Raw genomic sequence first — 15,716 nt, 5'->3', positions numbered from 1 at the left:
AGTAAGTTATCATCTCATACATGTAAGAATAGCTATTATCAACAAACTATACCAAGAGTTGGCAAGGATATGGAGAAAAAGAAACCTCTGCACACAATTGGAGGAAAAAGAAATTGGTACAGCCATTATGGCAAACAGTCTGGAAGTTCCTCCAAAACTTAAAAATAGTAAAGCATATATCTCAGCAATCTTTTTGATTTCATACCGAAGGAAAATGAAGACAGCACCTCATAGAGTTGTCTGTACTCCCATGTTTATTGCATTATACGTAACAGTCAAGGTATAAAACACCGTAAGTATTTACCAGCACATGAATGAATAAATAAACTGTGGTGTATATGTCTTCTTGATGCAATACTATTTAGCCTTAAAAAAGAGAACGGTAACTGCCATTTACAACAGTATGGACGAAACCGGAGGGCATGAGGCTAAGTGAAATAAGCCAAACACAGAAGGAAAAATGCTGCAAGATTTCACTTACATATGGAATCTACAAAAAAGTCAAATATATAGAAACACAGAACAGAATGGTGGTTACCAGGAGTAGGGAGCAGGGAGAAAATGTGAAACAATATGTTAGAGAATATGAATTCACAGTTACATACAATGAATAAGTCTAAAGAGCTAATGTACAGCATAAGGACTACAGTTAGTAAAACTGAGTAATATTGAGAAGAAACGGTTACCTTGACCCTTTCACGGGCTCGAACTAGATTGCACCTGCTCTAAGTCCAGCCAGTCACTTCAGCGCCAGCAGGGATGAACTTCACTTTCTTGAACCCGTTGGGTTCAACCCCTTACAGGCAGGAGCACGTAGGTGAGCAAGTGCTGGGCCGCGGGTGAGTACTTTCGGGCTCCCGCCCCATGGCAGTGTCTAGGTGTGTTAAAATTAATGCCCTTTTAGCTTTGCTGTCCGCAGATGGCTTAAGTGTTAAACAGCTCAGGGAAGAGTCAGTGTGACAGGCTTTTTGGGTTCCCACAACCATTGTATCCCGAATTCTTGTCCGGCATCCAGGAAGAATCAGCTCACATGAATGGTTTGAAAGGTGAGGAATGCAGAGGATTTTCTTAAGGAGTGGAGGTAGATCTCAGTGGAAGGGGAGCTGAGAAGGGGATGGAGCGGGAAGAAGGTGATCTTTCCCTGAAATTTAGCCAGAGATGGCTGGGCTCCTCTCTGAAGTCGTGCCATCTAAAGTTAAGCTGAGTCTATCCATAGTCTCTGATACTCAGTTGCTTCTTCTCTCAACATTCAACCACTTGTCTCTTTGCCAGCTGAGGTCTGGGGTTTATATGGGCACAGGATAGGGAAGTCGGGCGGGCCAAAAAGGTAACATTTGGGTGGGAAAATAGTAACGACTTGTCTCATTTAGGGCCGTGCTTTCCAAGCTTGAGGACAGGGCCTCTGTTGGGGAACCACGTTCTTTTACCCAGTATTTCCCTGCCTCCTGTCCATATCAGTATTACATATCAAAAATGTACCGAGAGTGGTAGATTTCTGATGCTCTTACCACAAAACCAAAAAAGGTAACTAAGGAAAGTGACAGATAGGTTAACTTGTTTGGCTATAGTAACAATCTAAGTAAAAACTTCACTGTGCATATGTCTATCAAAATATCATTTCCACATTTTATATAAAACTTTGAACAAGACTCAACACAAGACATTGGGCACATACAACTCCATAAACTAAAATATTTAGGTAGCGTACGCTAAGGTGTTAAGAGTGCAGAAAGTTCACTTAGGGTAATACCTGCAAATAATTAAGGGGAAGGAAGCAGGATTCCTTAGGGAAAGGAGTCAGATTGCAATGCTCATCTGGCACCTGTGAAAAGGAAACAGGAAGGAGAATCGGGCAGAGAGACGCTCAGACTGTGACACAGATTTAATAAGGTTTCTACCTCAAAACACAGATCTAGAGCAAAAAATTTATGGTACAAGAGTCCCGTCATCAGAAAAAATGGTCAAGTTTCAGTGCTCCTTCCAGGCACAGTCATTGTCTGTGCTTCCTTGTGAAGAGCGTGGCCTAGATGGAAAGTTGCAGCCATTATAAAGTTGCTGCAGCTGGAAGAAAGTTTTTGAAAGGCTAACGGGTGAATTTTTAGTGTTGCAACAGGCCAATACTTATGCCATATGGGCCCCATACTTCATATATATTTGGAGAGGAACTTTTATGGGTTTCAATTGAGCCTCATTTTCTAAAGGCGGGCATGGAAAAAAAAGAAAAAAAGCAGGTTAAGGAAATGAAATTTAGCTCCTGGTCAGGTCCTTTGATTACTAGTAGTTATCTTTTTGTTTCAATATCCCTTCCATATTTTTCTCCACACTCACCTAACATTTCTAGTGGTCTTGGTGGCTTACTTTGTGAAGTGACAGAAGTCTTTATTCTGGGAGGAATGAGATTCCCTCATGTCTATGGAGTGAGTACATAATAAGCCTTCATAGCATGGTGCCAGCTGAGGCCCTCTGGACAGGAAATGACCAGAATAGGTGTCTGTTATTTTGAGAATAAATTGTAGACCCTTCTAAAATGGAAGAGACTTAGCAAAACAGACTTAAAACCAACGAGCTGGTTTCTTCCTATTAGAAATAATGCTATATCAAGGGCTCATTATTATTTTCTGTTGCTGTCATATTGGGCAGTAAGTGGTGACAATAACTAGATAAGTCTTAAGAAGAACAGTTTACACTGTTGGGCCCATGCACATCTTCTATCACTGTCACATGGAGACTCCATTTGTGGCTTATCACACCTTATGAATAAGAATTACTGTGTCCTCCTTTCTTGACTGAAATTAAACACATACACACTACACACTTGTCAAGTCAAAGGCCACATATCATGTACTCAGACTGTATTAATATGCTCTAGTAAATATATCAAATCTAGCATGGCAGTTAAAATTGGCCTTACCACTTGGCTGAGCTTGCAGTAATCCAGAATCCATTTGGTTCCCGCAGTGTCTATAAAGCAAGAAAGGTTCCCTTGTCCCTCTCGCAGTGTGTGTAATGGGGGTGTAGCTAATTTCTTCAGTGCCCTGCGGCTCAAACCTCTAAGGGAACATACAGACAGGCAGGCTCTGGCGCTCCGACCCCAAGGCAGTGTCTATGGGTGAATGTTTACAGCTCCTGAAGCCCCTGTGGGCATGTGTTACAGGGTACTTTCTTAGCTTGCTGTCTATAGGTGGCTTGTGTAAACCAGCTCAATTATACCCCCATCTTTATCACAAGGACAGAAGGATTTTTGTATCCCAGGGTTTCTTGCCTTGGTGTACCAGGATAATGGATCACATGTGGGCTTGGAGAATGAGTGTAAAGTTTTATTGAGTAGAAGTAGGTCTCAGCTGATGGGGGAGCCAGAAAGGAGACGGTTTTCCCCTGGAGTTAGGCCACCTGGCTTCCCCAGCTCTCCTCCAACTGCCCAGTCAAACTCCACCTCATCCCTTCATGGTCGATGGCCTGCCAGCATGCAGGCATCTGTTAGTATGCTCTTCCTCCAGTGTGCTCTTCTCGATGTCCTCTCGATGTCCAGCTGCCTCTGTCTCTGCCTTGCTAGGGTCTCAGGTTTTTATAGGCCCAGGATGGGGGTGTGGGGGGCCAGGGTGATCTTGGGAAATGCAACCCCCATTTGGGCAGGACATGCCTGTCCTCACCTAGGTCCATGGGGCAGAGCCCTAGCCAGGGACCACGCCCTCCTTTACCCAGCACTTCCCTTCCTCGCTTCCCTAACATTTAAAGGGACTATACTCTTCCCTTCCCAGCACTCCCATATCATCTCGACTGGTAAATTAAATGAAGTTATATTATCAACCTACATTCTTCAGAGATACCTAAGGGTGACACTAAAGTACACCACTCACCTCCTTCTGACCCCCACTAACAAAAAGGTTATATTCCTTTTTATTTTTTAATTTTCTACCTTGGTCAAAGAGTTATGGTTTCAGAAGCTCCCATTTGGCCTTCTCCACTATGAAAGCATTTACCCCAGTGGTCAAGAATCTAATATGAAGGTTGTTCCGACTTCCAAGTATGGCAATTACAATTATATATTAGAAACTGACCATCAAGTGAGTCCATGGCCCTTGTAGACCTGCTGTAGGCTGGACTTCAGTCCAGCCTTCACGTTTTACATAGCTCCTGCATACCACCATTCTAACAGGGGACCATGATGATGCTTTGAGTCTCTGGGTATCAATGTTATCTAAAACTCTCTTTCCAGTAGTTATCAAAATGTCTGCTATTCTGCATTCCCCAGCATACAGTGCACATAAGCAAAGACTTTATGCTCCATTAAGGACAAACTGGAACATCATTAGGTATATACTAGCTCTGTAGTTGTAAAATCCTTTCTCCCGGATACCAGTCACAATTTTATTCTATAGTTAAAGGTTGAAAATGTATCTCAATCCCAGAAATTGGGAAGGGAATCCATACATTTTTCCCAATATTTTAATTGTAATAATATATACATGAAATAAGTATACTATCTTAACCATTTTTAACTATACAGCTCAGTGCAATTAAATACATTCATAATGCCATACCACCACTACCACCATCTACTTCCATAACTCTTGTCACCTTGTAAAACTGAAACTCTATACTCATGAAACAATAACCTATCCTACCATTACCACAGTCTCTGACAACCACCATCCTATTTTCTGCCTCTATAATTTTGACTTCTCTAAGTACCTCATGTAAGAAGAATCATATAGTATTTGATACGTATATAATATATATATATATTCAGAAATGGAATTGTTGGATTATATGATAATTCCGTCTTTAATTTTTTGCTCAGTTCCACAGCAATTGTACCATTTTGCATTCCTTCAAAAGTGGACAAGATTCTAATTACTCCACATCTTAGCCAACACTTACTATTGTATTTTTCATTCATTTTGTTTTTGATAGTAGCCATTCTAATAGGTGTGAGGTAGTATCTCATTGGAGTTTTGATATGCGTTTGCCTAAGTATTAGTGATATTGAACATCTTTTTATGTGCTTTTTTTTTGTATATCTTCTTTGGAGAAATGTCTATTAAAATCCTTTGCCCATTTTTTAATTGGCTCATATATTTATTTCTTGTTAGAAGTTCTCTATATATTTTGGTTATTCATATTTTATCAGATATGTGACTTGAAAATATATTTTCCCAAAATGTGAGTTTCCTTTTTACTCTTTTACTGGTCTCTTTTGATGCAAATATTTTTAAAAATTTTCATGAAGTCCAATTTGTCATTTTCCTGTTTGTTTTCTTATGCCTTTGGTGTCTTTTATTCAAGATTTTAAAAAATGTGGTACACGTGTTATGGAGAAACCAGGTGTTCAGTCTAGTTCCTGCTGCCTGCTCACCACAAAGAAAACCAATCACCGAGACAATTATTGCCAAAAAGGATGGCTTTAATTGGCCAGTTGCTGCAGCCAAGGGGACAGAAGATTGGTCTAAAAATCCACCCCCTTGACCAACTAAAACTAGGGGTTTACATAGCAGGAAAAAACGTAACAATGTGTAAGAAAACAGAAACTATGGAGGGGCATGGAAGCAATTATGATTAACACAGGGTCTAACATTTCATTGTCTGGATGAAGTGATCCAGTGAGTTCTTTAATAATTTTTGAGAGGCCTAAAGGTTCATTCCTGGAGTAGGAGCTCAGATAAAACAAATGTAAGTTTCAAGCTTTAAGACCAGAAGTGTTTTTAACAAGAACAAGAACAACAACAACAACAACAACAGCAACAACAAAACTATGAGACTGTTGAGTCGGTTTCAGTCCCCTTTTTTATTTATCAATTCCTCAATCATGGGGAATCCAGGTGTTGATCTTTCTGGCTGCTTCATGCTGAGGAGGGGTTTCATGAGCAGCTCCCATCCATGGGTGACCTCATGGCCACTCAGGAATCAAAGATTAGTGTAATACTATAGTTTTCTTCGGAAACACAATATTTATTTCTCCAGTCCCCCACTTCCACCAAAGACAAATCACAACAGGACCAATCTAACTGCAAAATAAGTGTCAGTCCCATATACTCGGCCTGATTACCCACACAATGTGCAGCAAGAATCATTGTCCATATACGCTCTCCTAAATTGGCTTTGCTGGAACCTCTCACAATGCCATTTTAGTCAAAGGCCTGAGAAAATAACAAGTTCCTCCAGTTATGGCCCATTATAAAATAAAACATGTTGTTATTAAATGTATGCAAGCAACCACATTGCCATTAATTAAAAATATTCACAAGTAGTTTACAAATTCTGGATAAATTAAACAGAGAGAGAAATATGCTTCAAAAGTGTGTTTACAGAAGTATGATGTACTCACTATACTAAAAAATATATTAAAAGGCTATAAATAGCTCAAAAGAAAAACATTATTCAAAACTTATTCTGAAAAACAAAACAAAAAGAATCAGCAATATTTCAAAAAAAGCCATAAATATTATTTTAGTCCTCCATTAGTTCAGTTCATGCAATCAACTCTTGCTCTGCTTGATATTGGTTTAGCTATGTTTATGAACACATCAGCCTTCCACTTAGTTCACTGGAAGTTTTCTCTCTATTCCAGTGGCACAATCTCCAAAGTTATCAGAAACCTGCATTCAAGAATCCTTTTCATGAAATCCTCCAAAGAAGCAAGCCCTGGACCATAGCTGATTACAAGTCACTTTTTGAGAAGGATCAAAGCAAAACAAGGATTGTAGATGACAAAAGGCTTAAGTCAGCCATAGATAAAGACACAGTTGACCAGGACGGTTGGTTATTTCTATGGCATACAAAAATTTAACATAATAATCGTAATTATGACAGACAACATATATTAAGACATATCAGAATTTTAGGCATCTCATATAATACTGGAATGCATATTAACAACACGTCTATATAAATAAGCCGAAAGGAAGCTAAATACCACCTCAGATTTCACAATGCTTTCTGCATAATTCTAACATAACAAAAGCCTAGTAAGCCTAATATGTCTTTCTTGGACTTGAGGGAACCTAATATCCAAAGAGTTAGTTTGAGGTCAAAAAGCCTGAATTTAGACTCTGAAATTTTGCTGTTGGAAAGTCTGTCAACTATCAAATGTTTAAGACATTTGATATATCACAAAATAGGATCATGGTTATTATAAAATAGTCATTTGTTTAGCCAAAATGATAGCACAAAAATGTTTACCTTTTGATAGAGAAGACACTCAGTTTCCCAAGCAATAAGACCTGATACTTAGAACAGCTTGAGGCCAACTAAATCTGTCTCCTCTCACTCCCTTTCTTTTCCCCTGCAGTTGACTCAAAAGGTAAACAAAAATATCTTATTATTCCTTACATAAAAATTTTATTCAAAAGAGAAAACCAAATTTTACCTTGTATGCTGTATTATTAATGTTAAAGCTAATTTTAATAAAACCTTATAAACAAATACAATTTTAATCAGTTTTACCATAAGGTAAGATTTTGATAAACCTTTTAAAACCTTTTACAGCTTTCTATTAAAGAGCAGATCAATGCTCCAAGAAAACCCTGTTATTCCAACACACGGGCGGAGACGCTGGCCTTGCATCGGTGTGCTTTTGATTTTAATGTTTAATTTATAGAAAACTCTAAACTAATCAACCCTCAAAATCAGCCCTCACAATCTTATGTTCCCATCTCTTCTGCGATAGTTCCTGGGCCTAGGGGACTTTAATAGTCTTAATTTCTGGTCCTTTGCCTCATTAAAAAGCAGATCGTTGTGATTGTTGCTTCTTCCAAGGCTGACGACTAATGTCAGTGTTCAGAATTTAGCAGGGATCGCTGCCTTTTTCAGACCCAAGAGTCAAAACCCTATAAATAATAGCACAAGGATTTGTTAGTAGGATGTTTATACTACAGAAAGTGCTATCATTCTCTCTAATATGTTATACTGTGATTTGGCATTTAGGAGTAACTGCAGGACTCCTTTAATTCAAATCACTGAATTAAAGTAGTTAGGTTACTCACTGCCTATGTCTAATTGCTGTATTCTAGTGACAGAACTGTGACCAAAAGCATCACAAATGTAATAGGGCCTTTGCCAAACATATCAAAGTTAGACAACTAACCTTTCTCTACATTATTTAAGAAAATGGTAAATGCAAATATCAGTTTTGGAAATATGGTATGAGGTTAAACAATCTCCTTTCACTTAAATACTATACAGCAAAACAAGGACAAAGTAAGAACAAACACAGTAATTTCTCTTCAGCTATAAACAGAGCATCATTACACATTTCCAGGTTTGGTTTCTAGATACGTACTGACAACTGATTAGGTAACTTTCACTACCAAAATCTTCAAATCAGTGAAGCACCTGCACATATTTTGTTTTCAGGTACACATATGAAGGCCCATTATTAGTAAGTACCTTGGCATTAAAAATCAGTAGAAAGTATTACATTTTAAAGAAAAATTATTACTACCTAATCCAAGTCAATGTCATTTAATGTTAATCATTGTAAACACAATTAAAGTAGTTTGAGAGCAATCCCAATCAATGTAATCTCCTTAAGGACAAGGCCAATCTTTCCTGAACTTTAAAACATTGTCACTATATCACAGTTTGTCTTTATTATCTCATGAAAAAAATCTGACACCAACTCAAATTATTGATTAAACTGAATTATCTTGAAAATAAACACGATTTAAATATTTTTATTCTCACTTTTTCAAATAATAAATAATGTACTATTTTGGTTCCCAACTTATAAAAATATGTCATTTGTGTAATTTTTTTTCTTATACTCTCAAGATCATCAGAGGTAAGCAAAACCAACTGAATTTTAAATGGCTGGTGTCCTCTATCAATTTTTGGAAACTTGACAAAGTTAGAAATTTTAGATAAATAGATCAAATAATGAATTGTTGGACCTGCATAGAAAACAAAATTGCTATTCATAGAATCAAATAAAAGCCTTCCATTAAAATCTAAAAAAAAAATCAATAGTTTTATACATATGGACAAATAAGTAAAACCCAGAGGACAACAAACAAAAAATAAATAAAAATTAAAAGCAAAAACAATTTTTTAAATTTAATTTAATTTTTTTCTTTGCAGATAGAGTCTCGTTCTGTTGCCCAGGCTGGAGTGCAGTGGTGCGATCACAGCTTATTGCAACCTCCGCCTCCCGGGTTCAAACCATTCTCCTGCCTCAGCCGCCTGAGTAGCTGGGAATACAGGTGCCCGCCACCATGCCTGGCTAATTTTTTTTATTTTTAGTAGAGATAGGGTTTCACCATATTGGCCAGGCTGGTCTCGAACTCCTGACCTTGTGATCTGTCCACCTCAGCCTCCCAAAGTGCTGGTGTGAGCTGCTGTACCTGGCAACAATTTTTTTTTTCTTAGTTTACTTGACAGGCTACAGTGTTATCCAGAGCCTAACAAAAATACACGATGGACATTTTGCTCCTGGCACAGTAAGTTAATGTCATTAAATCCAGCAATACCACTATAAATTGTGTACAATTAAAAAATTCACTTCAGGTGCATGACTGTAAGTACTTTAATGCTAGTACTACCTATGCAGAATTGCAAATATAGTGTGAGGCAATGCAAGCACGTATGTAAAATTTGGCTCTATGCTAAATCTGGCTTCATGCTTAGCTATATTTAAAAATTGCCTAACTGCCCATGTATTTCTTTACGCTATTTCTTATTTTACTTTTACCAAGAGTAAGAGCTTTAACAATCCACGATGTTAATTTCTCTAGTTTTCTATGAGGTTTTGAAGAATATTTTATGATCTAAACTTCTTTAACTTTCTATTTTCTTTGTATATGCGTGAAGATAGACACACAGAAACAAGAAAAAACTACATGTGACTTACATAGACCATGTATGACGTGTTGAACCTTGTGTTTCATTCTAAGTTTTCTTTTTTTAAATACTCAGTCATTTTACTTTAAGACAAAAACTCATTATACAAGATCCATTCTCATATAAAAATTATCTTTTCTTTATAACCTTCCTTACCAAATATATAACTTCATACCCATAACTTTCTTCACACATCTCTCCCCTACTTACTGGTTGCTTTCTACCTTGTTTCATAAATAATCTTTTTAAGTTTATAATTTGAATTAACATGTAGATAACTTCTTAATTAGAAAAAATTATTCTTTTACTCCCTAGGAACACATCTACTTTGGCACGTTATATACAGAATTATATATTAACTCCACTTCTTATCCTTAGTAACTACCTTAATATTGTGTGAACTCTAGGAAGCAAGAAATCCTGAAATAGCAGATATTAGCATTTTATAGATGAGAAAAACTCCACAATTTTTAGAAACATATTTTCTCATATCATAACCCTTCCTTAATTGGAAATGACACAGGCATCCAATGAGCATCAAAAACAATTTTAAGATTTTAATTTATACAAAAAATTCACCTATAACACTTATCCATTTAAATTGTATTCATTTTAGCAATTAATAAAGATTATTTATGCATCATTTCCTTGTTATTCATTTTATAACCTGAAAATATCAGATGTTCACCCAAATAAGAACCTTAAAGTTAACTACATGGGCATTTTCACCAATAACTCAGAAGATTCAGTTGTTTTCGTAAACCAGCAACATTAAATTAGTCTTACTTTTCAAAAAATTCACACAAAGACTATTTTGTTTTGGCTGGCTTCATAGTTTTATAACCTTCTGTGCCCAACCCTGATACTTTATCTAGCAGAGACAAATATAAAACCCAGACAAAATATAAAACTCAGAGTTGCTGACAACTCTGAAGGCATTTCCATGTTTATTTTACCAATAATTTTAAAGCCAACTTGTTTATTAAAGTTTTACTTAAGTCATGTGAATTTGAAAGTTGCTTGGACTTTTTAACTTAATTTATGAATGCACTTTTAATTATGAGCCAATTTGGTAGACACAACATATAAGAATAAATGTACATGCACATAAACACATCTAAGCATGTATACACACACACAAATGAAGATCCAATAGTTTTTACCTCAGAATCCAGTCATGAGATAGCAATACAGACTCAGCAATCTACAAACTTATTCACATGGCCAAACTTAGCCCTGATAGGTGATCCGATGAAGGCTATGGAACAAAATTTTGGGTAAAGCACTTTCCATAGCAGTTTGATTTTTAAAATCCAAATCTTTCCAGACTTCGGCCCAAAACTGCCTAAAACAGCAACTTAAAAGCCTGAATACACAGAATTCCATCTTGCTTTTCCATTCAACAGCGAACTTCAGACTCCAAAGAATATTGGGACCAAACAGTATTGTAAAAGAATATCAGTTACCAAATTCTGATTTCCCATGGCTACATCAAACACACAATCATCAAGGCACAATCCAAGTGCTGCAGAAACAAACAAGCTCCAAGAGTGTGCAAACTGAAACAGTCCGGGTAATTCCTCTCCCCATGGGTTGGGCTTGATCAACCCACAGACAAAATTTTCTTTGGAATTTCTCAAATTTAGAGGAGCCAATTCTGCTGTCTGTTACCCACAAAAGAAACTCACACACACACACACACACAATACACAGTTACACACACACAATACACAGTTACAAACAAGCCCCAAGGGTGTTCACAGTGAAACTGTCAGGGTGCTCTCCTCTCTCAATCAGTTGGGTTTGTTCAACCTGCAAATGGAAATTCCTTTAAAAATTTCCCAAATTGAGAGGAACAGATCCTGCCCTCTGGGCCAACAAAGGACATTCACCTATCTGAATGCAGATGTCAAGTTTCAAAGCCTGTTCCTCTGTGGCAATCAGGAATGCAATTGGAGCCAGTAGTGGCAGGGCCAGACAGAGAGGAAAACTCACCTCCAGCCAAAATTGGGAAAGCAACTGCTTTGGAGGGCTTCTGAGACTCCTGAGTCATGGCAGCTGAGCCACAAGCACCATGCTGCTTATAAAGACATTTGAGACTGGGCAATTTACAAAGGAAAGGGGTTTAATGGAGGACTCACATTTCCACGTTGCTGGGGAAGCCTTACAATCATGGTGGAAGGCAAGGAGGAGAAAATCACATCTTACACAGGTGATGGCAGGCAAAGAGAGAGCTTGTGCAGGCAAACTCCCATTTTTAAAGCCATCAGATGTCCTGAGACTTATTCACTATCATGAGAACAGCACAGAAAAGACCCGTCCCCATGATTCAATTATCTCCCACTGGGTCCCCACAACACGTGGGAATTATGGGAGCTACCAGAACAGATTTGGAGGGGGCTGGGTGCACACAGAGCCAAACCATATCGTACACCATGGAATACTATGCAACCGTAAACGAGAACAATATCATGTCTTTTGCAGTAACAGGGATGCAACTGGAGGCCATTATCCTAAGTGAATTAACACAGAAACAGAATACCAAATACTGCATGTTCTCACTTATAAGGGGAGCTAAACATTGAGTACACGTAGACATAAAGATGGGAACAATGGACACTGGAGACTACCACAGGATGGAGGGAAGGAGGTGGACATGGGCTAAAAAACTACCTGTCGGGTACTATGCTCAATACCCAAATTGCAGGATCATTTGTACCCTAAACCTCAGTATAAAGCAATATATCCAGGTAAGAAACCTACACACGTACCCTCTGAATCCAAAGTAAAAGTTAAAAACAAAATTGAATGTTATGAAGACTTTGCCCTGTTTTCTTCTAAGAGTTGTATAAATTTAAGTTTTACATGTTTAATCAATTTTGAGTTAATTTTTGCATATAGCTCAGATAAGAGTCTAACTTCATTTATTTGCAGGTGGATATCAAGTTTTCTAGCACCATTTTTTGAAAAGACTCTCCTTTCCCCTATTGAATGGTGTGGGTATCCTTGTGAAAAATTATTTAGCCATATATGTAAAAATTTGTTTCTGGGCTTTTTATTCCATTTCATTTGTCTCTGTCTGTTTTTATGAGAGCACTAAACTGCTTTGATTACTGCAGCTTTGTAATATGCTCTGAAATCGGGAAGTATGAGTCCCCTCATTTTGTTCTATTTCAAATTTGTTCTGACTATTCTGGGACCCTTGAGATTCTATATGAATTTTAAAATTTGTTTTTCTATATCTACAAAAAAAACTCATTGGTATTTTTATAGGGATTTCACTGAATTTGTAGATCACTTTGGGTAATGCTGACATCTTAACAATATTGTTTTTTAACCTATGAACATGGATATGTTTACTTATGTATTCTTTAATTTATTCCAGCAATGGTTTGAAGGTATCTGGGGCTGTAAATTTTTATTGAGGTAACCACTTTCAGACCCTATCATCTGTATTGGTTTCTTTTGATTTTTTTATGTTAGGCAGTGCCCTGATTGGCTATCCATTTATTTTGCCCTTAGGGTTGCCGTATTCCAGTATCATTCGCATAATACTATGAGGGTTCACCTCCCTTGACTGTCACTCTGAACTTGCTGGTTTTATGATAACTATGACTGCCTGATTTCTGGGATTTTAGCATGATCATTTTATCTCTAGGTCTTTGAGGCCCTTCATACCGAAAACCAACCTGTGTTATATTCTTTCCTTCCATTAGTTCTAGCTATAAAAAAAAAGAGTCACCTACCACTGAACTTCTTAGTGAAACTGATGCCTCTGTGACCAGGCATCAGTTAGTGACCTCAGTGACCTTGTTGAATAATGTGGCTCTTTTGTTCTCCACTGCACCATGCCCAGTTCCCTGGGCATTTTAATCCCTTCTGCCATGACCACCTACCACAGTAATTCAAATATTTTAACATCACTCAACTGCGCTTTCATTTTTTCAAGTTTATAGAAATCATCAAAACAGATAGTCAGCACCTTTTCCTGGGTTTCTTACAAAGATATTATAGTATTATATAATGTTTATCAATAATATCTCCAAATCAATTAACTCTACTTTACAGTCTTGTATAGTCTTGTATGTCAGGCATCTTGATCAAGCATTTTCATAACCCAGTCATACTGAAAGTTTCATATTTCTTGATAAAATATGCTGACTAACTTTTGCAGCCCCTTTTGAGCATTGACAGTTTCCTGCATATGCCTGGATAGATTAAGCTAAAATTAGCATCAACCAAGAAGTTGGAAAAACTCTTCAGGGGGCAGATCATATTATGTTGTGGGAGAGAGGCCTCTTCATTGCCTTTTTACTCAAGAATAGTTATAATTCTTGTTAGGGAATGGTGGATCAACTCTGTAAATTCTTTGGGATATAAAAGAGTGTGAGGAGCTGAAATCTTGAGTGGTATGCATTATGCATCCAGATATTCCCATGCCATGTGTTAGAGTGCCTGGCTTTTTGACCCAGGGTCATATATTTTGCACTACACATTTTTATCATCTGTAGAGTCAATGGTTTCTGAAGCTCAGAGACTCTAAATATTAAATTCTGAGTTTAATCTTTACATTTTTCTGCTCTACCACAGCTGCAAAAAAGGTTGTCTTTGTAAGCAACCAAGGAGGATTCTGACTTTCATGCATGGTTTTCAATTTTTGGTGAACAGTCCTGCTTTTCATTTGTTGTAGGGTGTCAAAGCAACTTAAGAGCGTCAGCCTACATTGTATGCATGGTACGCATTGTCCTCTCTCCCTGTACTTTTCAAATTCCTGACTTATTTTACTGAACAAGACAACTCCCACCATGGAACATACTTCTAAGTATTTGTAGGTTTAAAAATTAATTATATTTTGGAAAGTTTATGATTTCAACATTGAGTTGTAAATTTTCCGTTTAAAAAATTCAACCAGATTTATTTAAAAATAACAGCCACATCAAATATTATCTCTAATACTAACCAAATACAAAATTATTTTATAAAAAATACATATTATGCATGAACATAGATGCCAAAATAATAAACTGTGTAAACCTGTAATGAATTTCTGTCCATTATAAGAATTTTAATTATAAATTTAAAATAAAAAAACAAATTACTCAAGAATAAAACATAATTTATAAGTAATTGGAGAAATAGAAGTTAAGTAGAAAAATATTATGGTTCTTAAAAATACAAATGCATAGGATTATATATTCAAATACTACTAAAATTCCTTTTGCCACTTAGTAACAAAAATTAGTTATTTCACTGTGAATTATCTTCTCTTGATATATTCTTGAATTCTTGGTGTATTAATTGAAAAGTATGTTCATCTAAGTAGGATAAATATATTAAATTTTATATTATAATACTTTCATAGTGTTACATATACCTTAATATAGTTTTCTCCACTATTATAAGAGGAAATTGTACTATTTCTACCGACTTTTACAGAGTCTATAATTTTCTGTGCTCTTTTGTTAATTGTCAAAAAAAATAGATAAGAAAGAGGAGGAAGGAAAGGGAGAGGAGATGGGGAAAAAATAAAGCAAAGAGGAAAAAAAAAGTAAGATAAGGGGGAAAATTGTCAGGCAAGAATATCTTATTCCTAACATAAGACTTTCTGGACAAACAGGATATGAACAGAGCATTAATGAAATTGATAATCTAAACTAAAGAAGATGATTGAAGAAAATAGAAGTTTTAGGTGTTTATCAATAAAATTGTTTAATAGTCCTTCATTAAAAGGAATTTTTCTTTTCTAAATTAGCCACTGATATGCTTTGGATTTGCGTCCCTGCCCAAATCTCAAGTTGATTTACAGGAGGTGCCTGATGGGAGGTGACTGAATCATGGGGATAGATTTCCCCCTTGCTGTTCTAGTGATAACCGGTCAGTTC

The 15,716-nt window shown here is 36.7% G+C and overlaps 1 long non-coding RNA gene across 1 annotated transcript in view; it reads right to left on the bottom strand.

Annotated features, from left to right (window-relative positions):
* Window positions 1-5,766: 5,766 nt before the first annotated feature.
* Window positions 5,767-15,716, bottom strand: part of LOC105377261 (uncharacterized) — a 148,733-nt gene continuing 138,783 nt past the window's right edge. The window contains exon 5 of the long non-coding RNA XR_007058453.1: window positions 5,767-7,826. This is a non-coding gene — a long non-coding RNA (uncharacterized LOC105377261). The remainder of the gene's footprint in view (window positions 7,827-15,716) is intronic.

Source organism: Homo sapiens, chromosome 4 (assembly GCF_000001405.40).
Source record: "Homo sapiens chromosome 4, GRCh38.p14 Primary Assembly".
Taxonomy (NCBI): Eukaryota; Metazoa; Chordata; class Mammalia; order Primates; family Hominidae; genus Homo; species Homo sapiens.
The sequence above is the reverse complement of the archived record's forward strand: the minus strand, read 5'-3'. Positions and strand labels throughout refer to the sequence as shown.